This window comes from Homo sapiens, chromosome 16 (genome assembly GCF_000001405.40).
Source record: "Homo sapiens chromosome 16, GRCh38.p14 Primary Assembly".
Lineage (NCBI taxonomy): Eukaryota > Metazoa > Chordata > Mammalia > Primates > Hominidae > Homo > Homo sapiens.
Genome location: NC_000016.10, coordinates 81,028,533 through 81,050,447, shown reverse-complemented (window position 1 = coordinate 81,050,447; position 21,915 = coordinate 81,028,533). Strand labels below are relative to the sequence as shown.

Below are 21,915 nucleotides of genomic sequence, written 5' to 3'. Positions count from 1 at the left end.
GCTAAACTTTGATTCCTTTCTCTTTCTCATTTGTGTATTTGAGGTAATTTTTCTTTCTGTGGTTACTAAGGTACTTACATGAAAAATCTTATAATAGACTTTTTAAAGCTGATAACAACTTTGGTCCCGCACAGATACTCACACAAAAAATTTTTGTCCTTCCTCCACAATTTAAAATTTTGTCTTAAGTTACATCATTTTGTGTATTCCTTAACAGTGTATTATACCTGTAGTTATTCATAGCGGAGATCTGAAAGACATATGCCACCATTAGAGTAATGGTGTATTCTGAATTTGATTATGAGTTTACCTCTACCAGTGAGTTTTATACTGTCATATGTTTTCATATGACACACAAAATGATGAAAGTAATTATCATCCTTTTGCTTTTGGTTGAAGTACTTCCATAGCATTTCTTGTAAGGCCAGTCTAGTGGTGATGAATTCCTTCAGCTTTTGTTGTCTGAAATATACTTTATTTCACTTTCATTCAGGGTATAACATTCTTGGGTGGCAGTTTTTGTTTTTGTTTTTTTTTCTTTCAGAACATTGACTATATCATCCCATTCTTTCCTGGGCTTCAAGGTTTCTTCTGAGAAATCTGTTGATAGTGTAATGGAGATTCCCTTATATATGATTTGATGCTTTTCTCTTGCTGTTTTTAAAACTCTGTGTCTTTGAATTTTTACAGTTTGATTACAATGTGCCTCTGAGAGGACCTCTTTGGGTTGAATCTATTTGGGATTCTTTGAGTGCCATGGATCTGGATGTCCATATATCTCTTCCAGGACTTTGGAAGTTTTCAGCTATTATTTCATTAAATAAGCTTTCTGTGCCTTTCTCCATCTCCCTCCGAAAATCTCATAATGTGAGTATCTGTTCTCTTAATGATGTCCCCATAAGTCCTGTCAACTTTCTTCACTCTTTTTCATTCTCTCTTTATTCCCTTTGAATGTGTTATTTCAAAAGAGCTGTCTTCAAATTCAGAAATTCTTTTTATTTTCTGGCTGGGTGCGGTGGCTCACACCTGTAATCCCAGCACTTTGGGAGGCTGAGGCAGGCAGATCACCTGAGGTCAGGAGTTCAGGACCAGACTAGCCAACATGATGAAACCTCCTCTCTACTAAAAATACAAAAATTAGCCAGGCGTGGTGGCAAACACCTGTAATCCAAGATACTCAGGAGGCTGAGGCACGAGAACCGCTTGAACCCAGGAGGTGGAAGTTGCAGTGCAGCAAGATGGCACCACTGCACTCCAGCCTCGGTGACAGAGGGAGACTCTGTCTCAAAAAAAAAATGGAAAATTTTTTTTTTTCTGCTTGATCTAGTCTGCTGTTGAAGCCCTCAATTGTATTTTTTATTTCATTCATTAAATTCTTCAGATCAGATTTCTGTTCTTTTTTAAAAATATCTGTCTCTCTTGAATTTCTCATTCAGATCAAGAATTATTTTGCTTATCTGTATTCTCTTGTGTCTTGCTGAGCTTCCTCAAGATCATTATTTTGAATTTCTTTTCAAGAAATTCATAAATTTCTATCTAACTTTGGGGTCAGTTATTGGAGAATTATCATGTTTCTTTGGTGGTGTCATATTTGTTTGCTTTTTCATGTTTCTTGTGTTCCTATGTTGATTTCTTTGCAGCTGATGGATCAGCTGCCTTTTCCAGTTCTATGCAGTGGCTTTCATAGGGAAAGGCTTTAATGTGCAGATGGGGCCTAAGTATCAGTTGAGTAAGGCACACTGGCTTTGGTTCTGTATGGGTACAGTAGTAGTGTGGTCTTCATGCAGGTTCTTCAGCTGTAATCAATGTCAGCAATGCCTGCAAGTGCCTCAGTGGCCTAGGCTGCAGTAGACTGTGTGGCTGGCATCCTGGGTTGAGTATGGCTCCTTTGTGGATGGAGTATCGGCTTTTTACATGCTGAGGGGATGCAGGGCTGGTCCACTGGCTTGAGCTTGGCTTCCCCACTGAGCAACACTTCCTGTTCCTTTGGAGGCAGGGCACTGCATGGGCCTGGGTGCTAGGGTCATGGCTGTTCTGCTAGGCCTAGGTTCTGAGTAGTTGAGTTCAGGACTGTGCTGCCGCGAGGATGGTTAAGATGGAGCAGCTCTTGGGCAGCTTGTTCCCAAGGAGTAGGGAGCTGTAGCCCCTCAGCTGGGGGATGCTGCACTGCTGTGTGTGAGATGGTGTAGTGATAGCAGAACCTCAGGAATGGAGAGATGCAGTGGTTACTGTCCCCTAGAGCAGTGGGTCCAGGTTGAAAATGGTGCCATGCTGTAGTAGCTTGGGTCACAATGTCGGCTTTTTCTCTGCAGTAATGCAGTCATGTGAATTCGAGGATGCTTTCTAAACTGGGCTCAGGGCTTGAGAGAACTGCAGGATTCTCCAGCAGAAAAGACTACAGGTGTCTGTGGTGGTAATGGGACCTGCTGGCGACCTTCTGCCTTCCTTTTCCCCCAGGCAGAAATCCATCTTGGTTCTGAGCTCATCCTGACTGGGGAGACGGGGTGGCAGAGCAGGGTATTTCACTCCCTTCTCTCTCTGGCCGTCCTGAGTCTCTGTGTGCCACAGGTTCTCTACCACTCCCCTGATATACTCCAGCATTTTTTCTTTTTTTTTTTTTTTTTTTGAGACAGAGTCTCACTTTGCCATCCAGGGTGGAGTACAGTGGTGCAGGCTTGGCTCACTGCAACCTCTGCCTCCCAGGTTCAAGCGATTCTCCTGCCTCAGCCTCCTGAGTAGCTAGGATTACAGGCATGCACCATCACGCCCAGCTAATTATTGCATTTTTAGTAGAGATGGGGTTTCACCATGTTGGCCAGGCCAGTCTCGAACTTCTGACCTCAGGTGATCCACCCGCCTCAGCCTCCCAAAGTGCTGGGATTACAGGCACGAGCCACCATGCCAGGCCTCATTTTCTTTTAGATACTCTAGTCAAAATGTATTCTATTTGTTGTTTTGGTCCTTTTCTGTGGGGGCAACAAGCATTAGGGACCTCTAGTCAGCCATCTGGCTGGTATTACCTGGAGTGTCTTTTCTAGGAAAATTGTCTGTTAGCATATTTTCATGAACAAAAGAAAAAACAATGAAAATAACTGGGTATTATTAAATAAAATCATTTTATCATATGGCTTTCAAAAGACAATGAGTGAAAACTTAAGGCAATACAATAAGTCATATTTATGAGTACGTTCAAGAATTCACAAAAAAGGGTACAATTCTGGCTTCTCTTTAATCATTAAATTTCAGTTTTTACAAATAATTCAGGTTCAGGTTTTGAGGGGGAAACAGTTCTTGTATTATTACATGCTCATTTTTCTTCTGTAAATGACTCTATTGGCTAGATTTACAAACATTGTCACAGAAACAAATTTTTTAAGCCATAGATCACTGCATTTATATTTACAAAAAAGCCATAAACATGCATTTCTCCTTTATTAGGACTTAAATAGATGCTTGAATATTAAGGCAGTGATGATTCTAAAACATAATGAAATTCTAAGTTAAGGCTTTATGTTTCTTTTGAAACCCACACTCATAGGCAACTGTGACCAAACCAAACTCTTACCTACTAGGTTGAGCTCATCTGCCCGGGATATGTTATTTATCCATTACCAACACTTCTTTTGTGTCAAATGTATGGGATAGGAATTAGTAGCAAAACCATCAATTTACTTTAATGAATCATTAGTCCCCTTACTAGGTTTTGAGGATTTAGCTTTCAGTAATACAGGCATGTGCCACAGAAAGGAGCATGTCGTGTGTGTGTGTGTGTGTGTGTGTGTGTGTCAATGTGGAGAACTTACAGGCTGCACTGATTCCTACTTGACTGGAACTTAGCCAACAATTAAGAATCCAGGATCTCCTAAATACAGAAAATCCCCAAAGCATACTTGATCATGCTCCTACCTCAAAACACACAAAGCATTCTTGATTATTGAAGCAATAGGTCTTCACCTTGTTTTCTTTGAAGACTGGTATTATTCACTTAAGAAAAAAAACCAAAATGCAGAATACCATATTTTAGATGAATCTATCCTATAATTGCTAGCCTCAAGGCACAAGTAATATCCTTGCTAGATACTTTTTCTTATTCAAAGAAAAGATAAAGAATGGTGAATGGAAGGAAATTCACTTTAAAATAATTGTAGATTGCACTCCTGCCCTATCAAGCTTAGTAGAAGTGCAAAGTATTGAAACCTAATGGGGGATGCCCTTTTCCCACTTTTTTTCTTGTTTAATTTTAGAGTGACAAAACTCAGATCCAGCTTGTGGATGCACTTGGGGAAACAGCTCCAGAGCCCCCAACTCTGGCCTACTGTGGAGACCAGAAAGGATCTTCATAGGACACACCCCAAGATGAAGTCATAGGCATGTTTCCATAACTCCCTGTTCCCAAGGTTTGGATAACCTACGCTCATTTAGCAGGAACACTACACTACGTGCTTGTTGCTGGCGACTTTTTTTTTTTTTGAGATAGGGTCTTGCCCTGTTACCCAGGTTGGAGTACAGTGCCAAGACCATGGCTCATGGCAGCCCCAATCTCCTCGAGTGATCCTCTCACCTCAGCCTTCCAAGTAGCTGGGATCACAGGCGCATGCCACTGTGCCTGGCTAATTAAAAAAAAAAAAAAATTCCAGAGACACGGTCTTCTTACGTTGCCCAAGCTGGTGTTGAACTCCTGGGCTCAAGTGATCGTCCTGCTTTGGCCTCCCAAAGTGCTGGGATTACAGGGGTAAGCCACCACACCTGGCCCGCTGCTGCTTCCCTAGCCGATAATTTTACATCAATAAACCTCTTGTGTGTAAAGTGCTGTACACTTGTATGCTGGTATCAATAGTAGTTCATGTAGCGAAGAGGTGGCAATGATTACATGAAAACTGCTTCAAAGCTAAAGACAGTTGTAGTTTTCCTTGGTGTCTTTAAATCAGAAAAGAGGTGTCAAAGCTGACGAAGGTCCAGGCAGCAGGAGTCTTAAGAGCATGGAAGCACTACTGCTTAAATCCTACGGTGGCAGCATCCGGTTTCTTTAGTGATTAGTAACAGGAATCAGGAATTTCTAACAAGCAGTGCCAAAGATATTTTAGGTGCAGTTTAAGTATATTACACTTTGACTAAAATGTTTTGAAGATTTGAGAAGTTTGTACCCTTGAACCTGGTAAGCTGGGCTTCAGCTAAATGGCTATATAGGTTTTATAGATATGAAATACATTTTTTTTTTTAACATGAAAAGACTAGCTGTGAAAAGGCAAATGTAGGCAACACAAAAACAATTTAGATCAACATCTCAAACTTTATAATACACTCACATTTATACGCAAATTTCTGTTTACAAGTACAAAAGGCAAAGAAACACAAAGAAGCTAAGCAACTGCATCATCAGCCACATTCAATCGAATTAATACTGTTGTCCCCAGTCCGTAGTTTTAATCCAGAGGAAATGGTAGATGCCATTTCACACATGGACTCCACCGTTAGTTTTAGAAGTTGGAGACTGTGTGTGGTTCCGCAGAAGTCTGGGTTTCTACAGAGCTGAACTGAGACTCCATCGTGTTCCAGGCCAGATCAGCCAGAAGAAAGTCATCCATTGCTGTCTGAGTTTCGTTGCTGGTGAAGAACAAGCTCCCCAGGGTTTCAAACCCAGAACTCATGGTCTGTGTTTCTGTACTGTTCAACTGAACTTTGCTTTCTAGAGCAGGTATATTTTTAGCAGTGGAGACTCCTTCAGTTTGGGTCTCTGTGTCAGATGAATCAGTACTCACGGAAAAGCTGGAGTGTTTCAGAATACTTCCCAGAGGCAGATGAGGGCTACTGTCTAAGAAAAAGTTTAAGTCTGTCTGTGTCTGTGTGTCAAACATCTCAAGGCCTAAGAAGTTAGAATTTCCCCTACACCCATAGGACTGAGCAGAGGTATCTGCGAGTAAGAAGTCCGTTTGAGTCTCTATGTCCAGTGACTCCAAGACTGGCTCGGTGGTCATGGTGCTAAGTTCACTCTCTTCAGTTTGAGTCTGGATATTTGAGGCCGAAAAGAACTCTTCGATATCAAAATCGATTCCGGGGTTCTGGGCTGGGCCAGATGGGAGCTGGGTGTCAGGTCCAGGATTTGTGTCAGACAAAAGACTACGATGATCCAATGTCTGAGCAGGCAGATTACTTGACAAGATGTTTTCCAAATCACTTAATAAATCTATGGTTTGGGTCTGATTATCTGTCATGTTCTGTGAAGGAAGCATACTATTCTGTGCACTGAAATTTATAATTGGTGCAGATTTCTCAATATCTTGATTTAAAGTCTTAGGCTCATTCTGAGGTAACAAACTATGAGTTACTGTCTCTGCTACTAAACTGTTGCTTATAATGTTACCTGTAGCAACATTATATGATGAATGAACACTCTCAAAAATGTCTCCGCACATTCCAGCTTGGTCCATCTGTACATGGTCATCCGTTGGACTTTCTATCCCACTGGTTTGAGTTTCTCTGGAGACCCCACCTGACTGGAAACAGGTGTCCATAAATGCATCAGTCTGAGCAGCTATAGATGAAGTTACCTTAGAGCTGGGCAAAAATGTCTGAGTGTGAACACTAATGGGAAGAGACACTTGAGAATCAAACGACAAATCAGTTTGAGAACAAGACGACACAGAGGAATCAGCAGTGGCCCACTGTGCAGAAGGTATAAAGTTTTGTGAGGCATAAGACAGATCTGTCTGCACGTTGATTGAAGAAATGCTATTCTTTTGACACGTGTTCCCTAGTTCTTGTAAAGGATTAGATGGACTTTTACCAAAGTTCACTTGAACACCAGTACTTATTGGCTCACCAGCAATAGGATTAGCAATTTTGAAAAGAGGTAGGCTCTCCTTAAGAGAGCAAGCCTCTGAATCTAGGCCGAGGATCAGGGTTCCTACTGACAAGGGCATTAAGTGCACAGCCCCTGTGGCAGAGCCCTGATCAACACCTAACACCACAGGCTGGGCTGAGGAGTCGGCTGTAGGCACAAAGACAGGCATGACAGAAAACTGCATCACGGGTAGTTTAACCAAAGCCACTTTGGGCTTTGGTAAAAGCAACTTCTGAGGATATCTCGGTGGTGTTGTAAGAGTCTGCTTGTCAGTGTTAGAGCCACAAGAGTCTTCAAAAGATGGTTCTAGCTTTATTTCTGAAGCTTCTAGTTCTTGAGTGTCTGGTCTAGGGATTGGTTGGTTGTTCAATGATTCAATGGTCTTGTTGGATAACTTCTGGTTTTGTGCACAGTTTTCCATTTTCCTTTTCTTACTAGGTGGGTCCCTGAAAACAATGACAGAGCAAAAAGAAAACCTTAAAATACAACTTTCTTCGACCATGACACTCTATCCTCACTTACAAATGCCATTTCCCCCATCTATAGCAGAGGTCATGTTCAACCCAGACAAGATAAATCCATTCTTTCGCAACTCTGGGAGTTGGTCCTATTATAGCAGGTGAACTTTGAGAAACATGCAAACAGAGAAGGAGGAAACATACCTTTTGTTAAGCTCTAAGTACTAGAACTCAACTCAGATCTTTAAGCCAAAAGAAGCTAAAAGACTTACATAATGCAAGTTTTATCATTTCTAAGGCAGGAAGCTATCACACTAAATGAAAATTTGACCTTTAAATGAAGTACAGTTTCATGATAAAACTTATTTGTTGGCAGTTTGGTTCCCTCTGATAGAAAATTCTGGAAGCTGAGATTTTCAAATGGAAATAACAAGGGACTCTCAAAGAGGGCTGGCAGAAAAAAATAGGGGGAACAATTGGGTCAAGATTTCAGGCCCAGACATGTGTCATTTGCAAGACCTGCTTCCATTTTCAAAAGCTTCCTTCTTCCACGTCACACATTTTCTAAGATTCCTTTTTCCTCCCCACACCACTGGCTCTCCAGGATGTTTCATCTGAAATGCTTCCCATAGCTACTGACTTCTGTGCCATCATTTCTTTCCCTTCACCTGTGTTCTGCAGGTATCTCGTGCCCAGTTCGGTAGATGTGAGACTGCAGTGCTGTTCTACTGGCGTAGGGACAGCCGCATGTGCACCGGAAGGTCTTGCCACAGTCCTCTGCATGTCTTTTCAGGTCCCATTCTGTACCGTACGAATTGCTGCACTTACTACATTTGTGCTTCTTCTCAGCATGCATTTTCATAAAGTGCTAGGAGGAACGCAGAAGGGACTAAGGTGAAAAACAGCAACTGGTCAAAACATTTCAGAAACCATCATACACCCAAATTAATAATGATTTTACACTATTAATATAAATAACATAAAATACAGCAGTCCAAGTCAAAAGAATGTAAAAGCAGGAACATCGCAGTTAATTATATATATGCCTCTTCTTGTTGCTTTTGCTTTGTGAAAAGTGAGGAGATTGTTTTGGAAACATCTATGGTCTCCAGCATTTACACTCTGATCTGTAAGTGCTGCAGGCAGGAAAAAAATGTCTTTACAATGCTCTTCTCAGGACGCCCTCCAGCAGACCCTCAGGGGAACATTTCAGATGCCAATCTCTTCCAGTTCTGAATCACCTCTTGTCCCAGTCACTGGGGCCCTCCCTCCTCTTAAGATTGCGGCTTCCAAAACTCTTCTTTTCCTGGATTCTGCAGGTTCTTATTCCCCTGGGAGAACAGTTCCTTTGTGCCTTTGCGCTGGGCCCTTGGAGGTATGCAGACTCACACAGGAGATCTGCGAGCAAACATTTTCTCATTCTTTGCTGAACTGGTTTACTCTCTCTCTCTGTATTTTAACTCAGTTCTAGACATATTCCCTCCAGACCGTGCCGCTTTTCCCTCCACTTGTGTAACAGCATACTCAGGTTTATACCAACTGGGAGACACGCAGGCATCTCCCCTCACAAGCAGCTGTCTACTCAATTCTGTAGTTATGTCTGCTAAGTAATCAGAATGCACAATAGGTTTTTAGCATCTGTATCTCATCCTCAGAGTAGAGAGTACCTGTTTTACGAGAGAAAACTGAGAAAACGGTCTCTCAGGGCCTCTGGGGCAGCCTTCAATTGGACAGCAGTAGAATTTCGGTCCAGTTTTCAAATCTTTTCTTATTGTTGGATTGACTATGCCATCCTGCAAAAGGAAAATTACTTTAAATTATTATTTCAAAAAAACAACACAACAGGCTGGAGTGGAAACGGAATGACTGAAAACGAGCACATTTTGTGAAATACTTTTAATTAAGAGTTTTTCCATCTAGTGTCAGCAGTAAGAGAAAAAGAGTATGAGTAGATTAAACGAAATGTGGTGAGAATACTAAGCAAGACTCTAAAATTCTGCATTCATTTGACCATTACTGAATTCCTCTTAGTCAATTTACATTCCAGGGAGATGCCCCCCTTGTATGTTCCTAGGCTGTGAAATGCTCCAGAAAACCACGGATTAGGATCACTACAAGATTCCTGCTCATTTCAAACACATCGTCAGTGAAGCTCGGTAATCCTTTCATTATCTTTTCCAACCTCCCTCATGCTCCCCTGTAGTGTGTGCTCTCATCATTGAATGCCTTTTACTATCTCCTGTCCTCTTCTAAGTGCCCCTTCGTTCAAGTCCTCCTATTTATGTGGATTTTGTCATTAGCCTCAATCTAATTTCTAGACCTTCAGTCTCTTTTTCACTCATACTTTATCAGATTCACCTTTCTCAAGTATAGCTTCGATCATGTCATTACCTCCCTCAAACGTTTTCAGCAGCACCCCCGTACTGTTCAAGTCCCAACTTTTTGAGCCTGGGATACTCAAAGTCCCTTACTCCATAGCTTCAAACTACTTTTTCTTCTCTCATTACTTCATTACACCGAAGAGAACGCCTTCTAATGCCCCCCACACCTTTACATGGGCAGAGATTTATTTGTATCTTCTGTTGCCTTTGGGAATGTTTTGAACAGAATAAATGTTCAATAAAAACTGGTAGCATTATACTGAATCTCTTCAGGTAGCCATCTAAGCCAAAACTATCATGCCTGGGTAAGAGACCACTGAAGACAGTCTAAGTGGATGTTAATAACCTCACTGTCATGGCAACAAGCTGACACTGTCCATGCTCCTGTTTTCTGAGAGCCAACACCCCACCACTCACCAGCACAGCAGCCTCCTCCCACCCCCACCCACTGCTTCTGGGGCCTTCTTCCCATTTCTGTCCTCAGAGAATAAGCTCAAGGGTAGGATGGCTCAGATGAGAAATGGCAATGGCACGATAAAATGGAAGTGCAGTGAGAAAGTGGTGTTTTCATTCTGAAGTTCTATATACTTTCAAGAATAAAATGCACTGGACTTTTTGTACTGTATCTTTTGTGCGCATAACTGAAAAGAGAACCTATGAGAGGAAACAATCCAGTAACAAGACAGAAAGAAAATATACAAGAGGAAAAGTAAGACACAGTTGAAGAGTAGAGGGTGAAAAGAAACGATTGTAAGAACTGTAGCAAAAACTAGGAAAAACTGTCTGTCTAGCTACTCTAGCACCACCTGACTGCCTTCCGAGAAAGCATCCAAGAAGGAAACGGTTTGCTTTGTCATCTTATTCTAAATTTAAAATTAGAAATCTTTGTACAGTATAGTCTATAGAGTAACTTGGAACCTTTCCTTTCCTTAAAAAATTTCTGGCAAATCATTAAAAACAAACCTCTGGACTAAAAATAACACAAAATCCTCTAAGCCATGTTTTACAATATAAATGTTGCTTGATAAGAGGTTCTTTAAGTGCCTGCCTGTCCCCTCCACTGCTTTCACACACAAGGAACAAAAGAATCTCTAGGAATAAAAAAATGTACATTTACTTCTGCTCTTCCTGCCCCTGAATCCTCATGGCTTTCATTTCTCCATGAATCCCACCATACACAAGGCTGGGCTAGATTTCTGGATTTCCTTACAGGATATGGAATATGGCCATATACCTTAGGCACCCACATCAAACCAGAAGGCGGCACATACTCTACAGTTTGCAATCCAATTCCTCATTCTCACCCATCCTCGTTGCTCATCATTTATGTTAAGAAGGGAAGATTTGGTTGGGGGTGGGGTGTTTTGGGAAGAAAGATTAGAATAAAATAAGAACCAACAGCAACTAGTGGGGAGGGGAAGAAAATATAATCTAGAAAATATATAAACAATGAAAGAAATTATGCAAGCAGCTGTAACTAAGACCGAAAATTTCCACTGACTATAAGAAAACCTGCCAATAAGATACTCAGGGCAGAAAGTGGATGGAGTCTCTGGTCAACACAGCTCTTAAAACCTAAGATAGCTTCCCAGCCAGCCTTCCTCCCGGTTCCTTGTCCTTACCCCTACCTTCTTCCAGTACTTTGAAAACAGGTATCAACATTGATGTTTGAGGCCTGGCGCAGTGGCTCACTCTTGTAATCCCAGTACTTTGGGAGGCTGAAGCGGGCGGATCACTTGAGGTCAGGAGTTCAAGACCAGCCCGACCAACATGGCGAAACCCTGTTTCTACTAATAAAACAAAAATTAGTCGGGCGTGGTGGAGCATGCCTGTAGTCCCAACTACTCGGGAGGCTGAGGCAAGAGAACTGCTTGAACCCGAGAAGCGGAAGTTGCAGTGAGCCGAGATCATGCCACTGCACTCCAGTCTGGGCGACAGAGTGAGACTGTCTCAAACAAACAAACAAAAAGAACAATGTTTGAGGCAGGGCATGGTGGCAGGAGCCTATAGTCTCAGCTACTGGGGAGGCTAAAGCAGGAGGATCACTTGAGCTCAAGAGCCTGACAGCAACCTGGGTTAACAGAGCAAGACCCTGAAAAGCCTTCTATGTAGTAACCAGACAAGGTACAGATCTCCATACTGGGCACCATCATATAGATGGCTATTGCATCACACAGACAACCTTCATTAAAGGAAGACACCAAGACAGGAGCTGCTCAGGGGCCACTGGGCACTGCGGTTAGAAAGCCAGGACAAGACAGGAAAGTCAGTCTGCTTGTCAAGAAAAAAATGATGGATCTGGTGAGGTATAATTCCTGCTAAAAAAAAGTTTGCCCTGGCTGGGCACAGTGGCTCACACCTGTAATCCCAGCCCTTTAGGAGGCTGAGGCGGGTGGATCACTTGAGGTCAGGAGTTCGAGACCAGCCTGGCCAACATGGTGAAACCCCACCTCTACTAAAAATACAAAAATTAGCTGGGCGTGGTGGTATGCACCTGTAATCCCAGCTACTAGGGAGGCTGAGGCAGGAGACTCGCTTGAACCTGGGAGGCAGAGGTTGCAGTGATCCAAGATGGCGCCACTGCACTCCAGCCTGGGCGACAGAGTGAGACTCTGTCTCAAACAAAACAAAAAAAACCCAACATAATTAGAAACAAACCTACTGTATACTAACCAGTCCTGAAAGGCAAATGGTATCTTTATGTTCAACAGATGTTTACCAGGGTCTTTAAAGAGCTAGAGCTCCTAACAACAACTCCACAGAAAGGAACAACAGAAACTATTAAGAAATAGTTCATCCACCTAAGTTATGATTAAATAAAGGATTTAGGTCGGTCGCGGTGGCTCACACCTGGAATCCCAGCACTTTAAGAGGCTGAGGTGGGTGGATCACCTGAGGGTCAGGAGTTCGAGACCAAGCTGGCCATCATGGTGCAACCTGTCTTTACTAAAAATACAAAAAAAAATTAGCAGGGTGTGGTGGCAGGTGCCTGTAATCCCAGCTACTAGGGAGGCTGAGGCAGGAGAACTGCTTGAACCCCGGAGGCAGAGGTTACAGTGAGCTGAGATGGCGCCACTGCGCTCCAGCCTGGGTGATGGAGTGAGACTCTGTCTCAAAAACAAACAAAAAAACACAAAAACAATAGGGAAGAAAAGGATTTAGTTAAAATTTAGTATGAAAACAAAACAACAGGTTGAAAGCCATTCCCAGAGTTACACTTGAGTGCTGAAAGAAACCCAGAGCTTTTCAGTCCAACAATTCGGCCCCACCTGCACGGTCTTCCTCAGCATACCTCAGGTACATTTCCTGACTGGCTCCCTGATCTTCAATTGAGAACGTTGTTGCATCCCGGTTTAGATGGTGGTAAGAGCAGATCACTCTTCATTGGCGACACATCTGTCCTACTAGAGACTACAACCTCAGAGTTTTCTGCTGTGAAATTCTTATCAGAAGCCTGACTATGGGCAGACAGAACATGCAATATTCTGGGTACTCTAAATTTACTCCTGATCATCAAAAGCTACATATTCGCAGAACTGCTTTCAATGACTTGCGCTTTTGAATTATGTCACTGCTGGCCTAGAGTGGTGGAAGGAAACTTGCCATTGTAATGACTGAGAGATTGTGACTTAACAGGTCCGGGGTGGGGCTGGACATCTGGATTTTTAATAAGCTTGTCACAGATGTGTCCCAAGGTTGAAAATGACTGCCCTGTTTTGCATAACGTGGAGGGTTGTTGAGACTATTGTCATGGTGTATTTACTGTGTCCCCCTCTTAAAGAAGAGCCACAGGGGCAATTTCCCTTAGGTCTCAGTCCTGAGCTGATCTTACCAACACCGTGAAACTGACTGATGGTGTTTAGAGGCAAACCTACCGCTCCTTTAAAACATTTTTTTATTCATAATCGACACACAGTAATTATTCCTACTGATGGGGTGCGGTGTGCAGCATGGATGGACATATACATTGCATAGTGATCAAGTCAGAGTGTTTAACATGTCCTCGACCTCAAACGTATTGTCTCTTGGTGGTGAGAACATTTAAAACCCTCTCTTCTAGTTATTGTGGCACATACAGTCCACTGGGCAGGACCCAAGGGCGGCATTGTGGGTGTCGTGGCAAGCACAGGGCTTTAGAACCAGAGGCCCCGGTTTAAAGCCCCGCATCATCTAGGTTGCATAATCTGTTTCTCATTAATATAATGGAGACGATGCGTCCCTCGCCAAAACGCCGTTAAGAACTCACAGGCAAAAAAGTGTAAAAAGCCTGGGCCGGCGTCCGGCACGACACTCGGGGCCAGGGAGCCAGGGAACCAGGGAACTGGCGCGTACGGCGGACCCGGGGCTCCCAGCTCCTCCTCCCCCCCAGAGGCCGCACCTGCGGCGCCTGCCGCGAGGGTTCGAGAGCCGCCTCCGGCCGGGGAGGGCAGAGGCCGGTGGGGCAGCGGCAGCGGCAGCGCGCAGGGCGCTCGTCCCCCCGAGGCCGGCTTCGCGCGCCGGCGCCGGGCGCTTTGTTGGAGCCAGGCCCGGCCCCCCGGGCCGCCGGCCGCGTCGGGCTCACCTGCAGGCGGTGGCTCTTGACTAGGTGCATGTTGAGCGCGGGGCTGTTGGGCAGGATCTTGCCGCAGCCGCGCACGGTGCACAGGATGTTGGTCCGCACGGCCCGGGACAGCTCGCTCACCGACGGCTGGATCAGCTCCCCCGCCGGCGGCGCGGGGACAGCGGGCTGCTGCGTCGCCCCCGCGGGCCGCGGCCGGCTGCCCCTCAGTCGGGGTCCCGGGGGCACCCACGGGCCCGAGGCGGCGGCGGCGGCTCCTGTCGTGGCCGCCGGGACGGCCCGGGCACCCGCCGCCAGAGCCGCGGACCCCGCCGCCGCCGCCGCCTCCGAGGCCGCCATGGCTCCCGCACGGCCGCCCGGCCCAGTTCGTAGGCCCCGCCCCCGCCGCAGCCACTTCCGGCAGGGGGCGAGGCCGCCAGGCTTGTTAGCATCCGGCGGGCCCAGGCGGCCGCGGCGCCCCCTGCCGGCCGCGGAGGGCGCGCCTTGGAGGGAGAGGACTTTAGGTGACGCCGCCAGGAGGCGAAATTTCACCTGCCAGCAGGTAAAAGGTATTGCCCCGCCTCTCTAATCGATCCATTCTTCCTAGGAAAGTGACTTCAGGCAGTAGTCACATAAAAGAAAAAGCAATACGTTGAGCAATGCGTTTACTTCCCAAAGATTAGAAACAACCCAAATGTCTAGTGGCAGGTGAGGCAGAAGTACACTGATTTCCGCCGTTGTTTATTACCTAGGCCTTACTGGGTACCAGGTGGGTCTGGTGGATGCACTTTTCATGCTGTGTCTCATTTTGTCTTCAAAACGACTGTAGCGGGTATGTACTGTAACTTGCCCCACCTTGTGCAGAGAAGGACATTTAGGCTTATATAAATTAAGTAACTTGACCTAGACCACACTATACAAATGAAAAGATTGTTATTATTGATAGGATTAATCATTTTAAGAAGGCTGGATTTGCTTGCTTCTATTTTAGCTGCTGAAATTAGGATTACTGTTTGGGAGACACTGCAGTTCAGTATACGATTACAAAACTTAATACTTAGACTGGGTAGTTCATGTAAATGGACATAGGAGGCTGGGGTAGACAAAAGGGAGGGGTGAGGACTGCAGTGAAATTGGAAACACATCCTTTATTAAAAGGGGGCAGCTGCTACTCATCTTTGGTATGGCTAGAGTTTTATGTGAAAATTTCCACCTTTTACATACTAGCAGCTATATTCGTTTTCTCTTGCTATTAATAAATTACCACAAACTTACTGCCTTAACACAAATTTATTATCTTCCAGCTCTGGAGGTCAAAAGAAATGAGACTGCTGGGCTAAGATCAAGGTGTCAGCAGGGCTGTATTCCTTCCCAAGGCTCCAGGGGAGAATCTGTTCACTTGCCTTTCCCAGCTTCTAGAGGTTGCCTACATTCCTTGGCTTGCGGACCCTTCCTCCATCTCCAGAATCAGTAACGGTGAGTTGAGTCTTCGTCACATCACATCACTCTGATTTCTTCAGTAGTGATCCCTCTGATTCTTCTATTCTTGAGGCCCCCTGTGATGACATTGGGCCCATTCAAATCATCCAGGATAATTTCTCCAACTGCCAAGTCCCTTTGCCTTGCAAGATAACTGTGATAATGTGAAGTATATATTTGGTCTTTGTCCTGGCATGCAATTCCTAAAATCCTTGGAATCAGCAAATTGGTGTTTTTTTGTATGCTAATTAGTTGACTGATGACTCACAGTCCCTAGGTAGCTTTAGGATGGGACTGGTCACTGGAAAGACCAAGGTAGGATTAGAGGCTTGAGACTTTCAGCCCTCCCCCTCAACCTCTGGGGAGGAGACAGGGGCTGAAGCTTAAGCTGATCAATCATTCCTAGGTAATGAAGCCTCCATAAAATCCCAAAAGAAATGGGTTTGGAGAACTTCCAGATAGCTGAATGCATGGAGTTTCCTGGAGGGAGGCGCACTCAAAGAGGGCATGCGTGGAAGCTCTTGCCCTATGCATCTTTTCATCTGAATCCTTTGTAACATCCCTTGTAAGAAGTCAGTCTATGTGTCTTCCTGAGTTCTGTGAGCTGCCCTAGCAAATTAATTGAACATGAAGAGAGGGTTGTGGGAAATGCAATTTATAGCTGGTTAGTCAGAAGCGCAGGTGAAACAACCTGGGGCTGGCAACTGGCCTCAGAAGTGGGTGGCAGTTTTGTGGGACTGAGCCCTTAACCTATGGGGTCTGATGATATCGCCAGGTAGTTAGTGTTGGAATTGAACTGGAGCATACCCAGCTGGTATCTGCTGTAGAACTGATTGCTTATGTCAACCAAGAAGAGGTGAAAGGGCCAGGCATGGTGGCTCACGCCTGTAATCCCAGCACTTTGGGTGGCCGAGGCAGGGCGGATCACGAGGTCAAGAGATCGAGACCATCCTGGCCAACATGGTGAAACTCTGTCTCTACTAAAAATACAAAAATTAGCCGGGTGTGGTGCGCACGCCTGTAATCCCAGCTACTCAGGAGGCTGAGGCAGGAGAATCGCTTGAACCCAGGAGACGGAGGTTGTGGTGAGCCAAGATCGCACCACTGTACTCCAGCCTGGTGACAGAGCAAGACTGTCTCAAAAAAAAAAAAAAAAAAAAGAAGAGGTGAAAGACCACACTGCAAAGCAGTAAGACAAGGCATTTTTTTTTAATTAAAAAAAAAAAAAAGAAAAGAGACAGGGTCTCGCCATTTTGGCCAGCTTGGGGTCAAGTGATCCACCTGCCTCGGCCTCCGAAAGTGCTGGGATTATAGATGCAAGTTACCACGTCCAGCCAAACAAGGCATTTTGATTGGGGTCTTAGAAATTACAATTTGGGAGACACAGATTCACCTAGAAGCCAAATGGGGTTCTGAAAAGAGGGAGAGAAGTAGATGTTTTTAAAAGAAAGCAGAGGGTTAATACACAAATTGTTTTGAAAGAATTATCATTGGTGGAGGTGGCTGGCTTAGTACATGAATCCATAGTTGATTGGTTGCCGCTGTTCAGGAGTTGTAGCACTGGTGAAATTCAGTTTTCCAGGATGTAGTGGTTATTGCAGTTTTGGCCCAGTTCAAAGCTTCAAGGCAAGTTCATATTTTTTGTTTTTGTGTTTTGCAAGTTGCAGATTGTGCAGGCAGTCCTTCTTAGAATGGCTTCCCAACTCCATTTTAGAGCTCTGAACCAAAGTGATGCCATTTTGTGTATCACTTTTCACATTTTCCTTTTTTGATCAAGATCCGAGGCAGCATAGCTGATTAATCATTGGTTGGTTGGCCACAGATTAGTTATCTGTTCCCCTTAGAGCTAGAAGCACCTGTGTCTAGAGTGTTATGTCCCACAAAAAGTGGTTGTCAAGTCAGTGCACATCCAAGCTTCCAAGATTGGTCAAATTTGAGTAACAAAGGGTCCATTTTAACAAGGAGGCCTGCATTAGTCTATAGCAGTTAGCTGTATATCAGGAGAGACATACATTTGATTAACCATTTAAATGTCTAAATGTTGTGACATCATGATTTTAACATCTTGGATACAATGGGACAAACAGAAGGTACAAGTCCTTCTGCCAGCTGCTCGGGTCCTGGGTCCCTTGACTGTGGCTTCCAGAATAGCAGAGCAGCTTTTGGATCCTGCAAACAAGTGCTAAAAAAAAAAAAACACTGAAAATCAACTGATAAAAGACGGATTAATAGGAGAAAAGACATACAAGTTTTATTAACGTGCCTGGTGGGGAGGGGAGGCATCAGAGTGATGATTCCCCAACCCCCAATGGGGTGTGGACGCTTATATACCCTTTTTCATAGGAGAGTAAGGAGATGGGGAACGTGTGTAATTCTTCTGAGGAGCAGTAAATTATTATAAGGGAGAGTAAATGGACCAGGGAGACAGAAATTAACTTGTAAATGATTCTCTTTGGAATCTGAATGAGCCTGAGGGGCAGGCCTTATGAAAAGGTCCATCCATATGTGGCTCTATTCCTCAGTCTTCATTTTTTGATAGATAATGAGATTTGAAGGACAGAATAGAAGGCAACTGTGTTTCTTTTAGTAAGAAGCTTTCTTAGTCAGACAAGGAAATTCCAGAGGGAGTTCCTCTCTGCCCTTGGTTGAGGCAAGAATAAGACAAGGTTGGAGGGACCTTGACTCTCAAGTGTATTTCTCAGGCCTTTCCATTTTCAAAAGCATCCAGCATGCCAAAGTACCATCATTTTCTGTGCCTCAATATTCCCTAGTCTGAAATTTCCCTAGTAGTTTCACAAATGAAACAGTGAGTTGGCCATGAAGAGAAAAATCAAGTTAAATAGAATTTTGGCTGGGCACTGAGGCTCACACCTGTAATCCCAGCACTTTGGGAGGCCGAGGCGGCAGGATCACTTGAGGTCAGGAGTTTGAGACCAGTCTGACCAACATGGTGAAACCCTGTCTCTACTAAAAATACAAAAATTAGCTGGGCATGGTGGCACGTGCCTGTAATCCCAGCTACTGGACAGCTGGCAACCAAGGACGTTGGATAAAGAACCTCAACCAAGGTAGGGGGTTAAGGAATGAGACAACTCGTAAACAGAATCCGTGGCCATGGGAGAGGTGTGGAACACAAGGGGTTCCTCCTGCAGGAACTGTGCTCGAATCCGTGGCCGCACCAGAACAAAGAAGGGAGTTGCTTTTTTGTCCCACTCAATTCTGACACCATTTAATGTCATCCAAGGGGCAAAAGACCACACTGCAAAGCAGCAAGACAAGGTGTTTTTATTGAGGTCTTAGGAATTGCAATTTGGGAGACAGATTCAGCTAGAAGCCACTTGTGTTCTGAAGAGAGAGGGTAGAGGAGGGGTTTTTAAAAAAAGCTGAGGGTGATTAGACAAGTTGACAAGTTGTTTTGAAAGAGGCAACTGGCTTAGTACAAAAATCCATAGTTTATTGGTTGGTGCTGTTGAGGAGTTGTAGTGCTGGTGAAATAAAATTTTCCAGGATGCAGTGGTCATCGCAATTTGGCCCAATTCAAAGGTTCAAGGTAAGCTCCTGTATTGTTTTTTTTTTGGAGCTTTTAATTTTTTTTCAAGTTGCAGGTCATGTAGGGAGTCCTTTTTAGAATGGCTTCCTCCCTCCATTTTAGAGCTCTGAACCAAAGTGATGTCATTTATTTTATTTTATTTATTTATTTTTTAAGATGGAGTCTCACTCTGTCACCTAGGCTGGAGTGCAGTGGTGCAGTCTCGGCTCACTGCAACCTATGTCTCCCGGGTTCAAGCGATTCTCCTGCCTCAGCCTCCTAAGTAGCTGGGATTACAGGTGCACACCACCAGGCCCAGCTAATTTTTGTATTTTTAGTAGAGTCGGGGTTCACCTTCACCATGTTGCTAAGGCTAGTCTCAAACTCTTGACCTTGTGACCCACCTGCCTTGGCCTCTGAAAGTGCTGGGATTATAGGCGTGAGCCACCATGCCTGGCCTTTATTTTATTTTTTGAGGCAGAGTTTCACTCTGTCACCCAGGCTAGAGTGCAGTGGCATGATCTTGGCTCACTGCAACCTCTGCCTCCCCGGTTCAACCAGTTCTCCTGCCTCAGCCTCTCGAATAGCTGGGATTACAGGCGGCTGCCACTACCCCCAACTAATTTTTCTATTTTTAGTAGAGACAAGGTTTTGCCATGTTGGCTAGGCTGGTCTCGAACTCCTGACCTCGGGTGATCTGCCCACCTCGGCTTCCCAAAGTGCTAGGATTACAGGCGTGAGCCACTACACCCGGCCCAGAGTGAAGTCATTTTTCTATATCATGTTTCACACTTGCTTAATGTGTGGGGGAAACCCCCTCCCCCACATATCTGGTATCAGAAGTGTGAGAGTACACTAGGAGAAACCTCCTGAAGTGCTGGGATTACAAGTGTGAGCCACCATGCCCAGTCTAATGTGTTTCTGTAACTCCAAATCCTCTCTGAAACAAGATAAAGAATAGATTTTAAAATGTTTAAAAAAGACATGCTGGCGGGCGTGGTAGCTCATGCCTGTGATATGGTTTGGCTGTGTCTCCACACAAGTGTCACCTTGAATTGTAATAACCCCCATGTGACAAGGGCAGGGCCAGGTGGAGATACTTGAGTCATGGGAACGATTTCCCCCATACTATTCTCATGGTAGTGAATAAGTTTCATGAGCTCTGGTGGTTTTATAAATGGGAGTTTCCCTGCACAAGCTCTCTTGCCTGCCGCCATGTAAGACATGACTTTGCTTCTCATTTGCCTTCCACCATGATTGTGAGGCCTCCCTGGCCACGTGGAAATGTGCGTCAGTTAAGCCTCTTTCCTTTGTGAATTACCCAGTCTTAGGTATCTTTATTAGCAGCATGAGAATAGACTAATACACTCCTATAATCCCAGCATTTTAGGAGGCTAAAATGGGCAGATTGCTTGAGCCCAGGAGTTTGAGATCAGCCTGGGCAACATGGAGAAACCCTGTCTCTACTAAAAATACAAAAATTAGCTGGGCATGGTGGTGCAGGCCTGTAGTCCCAGCTACTCAGAGGCTGAGGCAGGAGAATCTCTTCAACCCAGGAGGCAGAGGTTGCAGGGAGCCAAGATTGTGCCATTGCACTCCAGCCTGGGCGATAGAAGGAGACTTGTCTCAAAAAACAAAAAACAAACAAAAAAAAAATTAGCTGGGCAGGATGGAGCGCGTCTGTAATCCCAGCTATTCGGGAGGCTGAGGTGGAAGGATCACTTGAGCCTGGGAGGTCCAGGCTGCAGTGAGCCATGATCATGCCACTGCACTCCAGCTTGGGTGACACAGTGAGACCCTGTCTCAATAAATAAATAAAGAAATAAAAAATTAGAAAGGAAAAAATTTTTAAAAAGATAGGGTATTTAGTGATGATCACTGAAGTACTTTGATCAAAATTAACTGATGTGCCAGTTTTTTGACACCTTTATTCATAAGTCAATATATTTGTCAGTTTGAATGTTATACACATGATAAAATAGATTATGAGAAGTATCATATTTACAATAAGAACACTATTTTATATAACTGACTCACCAAATATGCAACCTCTTGCAACAATAACAGAATGGACTCAACTCCATCCTTTGAATAGACCAATTTCATGATTCTCCTAAAAAGTTTTGAGTTGAGTATAGTTCCTTGTTGCTTCTCTCTGTGATCCAGAGCTTAAGAATCAATCCCTGGAAACCAGCCACTGGAACCAGACCTCTCCAGAATTGAGAAGAGACAGCCATAGAAAAAAGGACACAAACCCAAAAGTCTTGAGCGCTGTGCCATATGCTTGATTTCAGAGCATTCAGGCACTCAAGGTCAAGTGTGGGGCCATATATATATATGTCCTGTCATCTCAAATGCCACAACGGCTACAGTTAGCAGGATATCAGAGAGAGGAGGCATATCGTGGAGGAATGAATCAGTCCCAACAATTATGTGAGCATTTCTAAAAATTCAATACCAAGGATTCTTGAAAATACAAGTTTACAGACGGAAGCTATACAGCTAGCCATGAACTGAAGTGCATGTGCAATATCAAGAAGGAGGAGCTGTGCTTAAGAAACCACGCACGTCTTATTTATCTCTAATTTTAAAATAATTCATTCTCTTGTTGGGTATGCAAGTGAGCAGTGGAGAAAGTGGAGCATCTGCAATACCTGAAATTAAAAAAAAAAAAAAGGGAAAAAGAAAAT

The 21,915-nt window shown here is 44.3% G+C and overlaps 2 protein-coding genes and 1 long non-coding RNA gene across 17 annotated transcripts in view, besides 2 other annotated features; 1 reads left to right on the top strand and 2 right to left on the bottom strand.

Moving 5' to 3' along the window:
- Positions 1-3,097: 3,097 nt before the first annotated feature.
- On the bottom strand, positions 3,098-14,606 carry ATMIN (ATM interactor). 2 transcript variants are annotated; one of them, NM_015251.3, is made up of 4 exons: positions 14,242-14,606; positions 8,967-9,092; positions 7,968-8,167; positions 3,098-7,287 (listed from the first exon to the last, which is right to left on the bottom strand). In NM_015251.3, exons 1-4 carry the CDS (start codon positions 14,575-14,577, stop codon positions 5,478-5,480), a joined length of 2,472 nt encoding a protein of 823 aa, NP_056066.2. In that variant the 5' UTR covers positions 14,578-14,606; the 3' UTR covers positions 3,098-5,477. The 2 variants fall into 2 exon arrangements, with proteins under 2 accessions (NP_056066.2, NP_001287657.1); NM_001300728.2 differs by lacking the exon at positions 14,242-14,606 and adding an exon at positions 12,973-13,250.
- The window catches only part of CENPN-AS1 (CENPN antisense RNA 1), a 23,571-nt gene continuing 11,792 nt past the window's right edge, over positions 10,137-21,915 (top strand). For 2 of the 9 annotated variants that reach the window (XR_001752279.2, XR_007065131.1), the window contains exons 1-2: positions 14,669-14,786; positions 15,522-15,693. This is a non-coding gene — a long non-coding RNA (CENPN antisense RNA 1). Of the gene's footprint in view, positions 13,712-14,667; positions 14,787-14,893; positions 15,050-15,521; positions 15,694-21,915 lie in introns of those variants that run through there. The other 7 variants (XR_007065136.1, XR_001752278.2, XR_007065134.1 and 4 more) reach the window with 6 other exon arrangements.
- Positions 13,937-14,286: a silencer, noted in NCBI's record as "silent region_7750". NCBI's record gives its function as "represses an Ori minimal core promoter by ATAC-STARR-seq in GM12878 lymphoblastoid cells {active_cell/tissue: GM12878}" and the evidence as "EXISTENCE:reporter gene assay evidence [ECO:0000049][PMID:35858748]".
- Positions 14,497-14,786: a silencer, noted in NCBI's record as "silent region_7749". NCBI's record gives its function as "represses an Ori minimal core promoter by ATAC-STARR-seq in GM12878 lymphoblastoid cells {active_cell/tissue: GM12878}" and the evidence as "EXISTENCE:reporter gene assay evidence [ECO:0000049][PMID:35858748]".
- The window catches only part of CENPN (centromere protein N), a 25,894-nt gene continuing 21,319 nt past the window's right edge, over positions 17,341-21,915 (bottom strand). For 5 of the 6 annotated variants that reach the window (XM_006721236.5, XM_047434366.1, NM_001100624.3 and 2 more), the window contains one exon: positions 18,963-21,879. In XM_006721236.5, the coding sequence (XP_006721299.1) occupies positions 21,797-21,879 (83 nt within the window). In that variant the 3' untranslated portion in view covers positions 18,963-21,796. Of the gene's footprint in view, positions 17,879-18,962; positions 21,880-21,915 lie in introns of those variants that run through there. The other variant, NM_001100625.3, reaches the window with a different exon arrangement.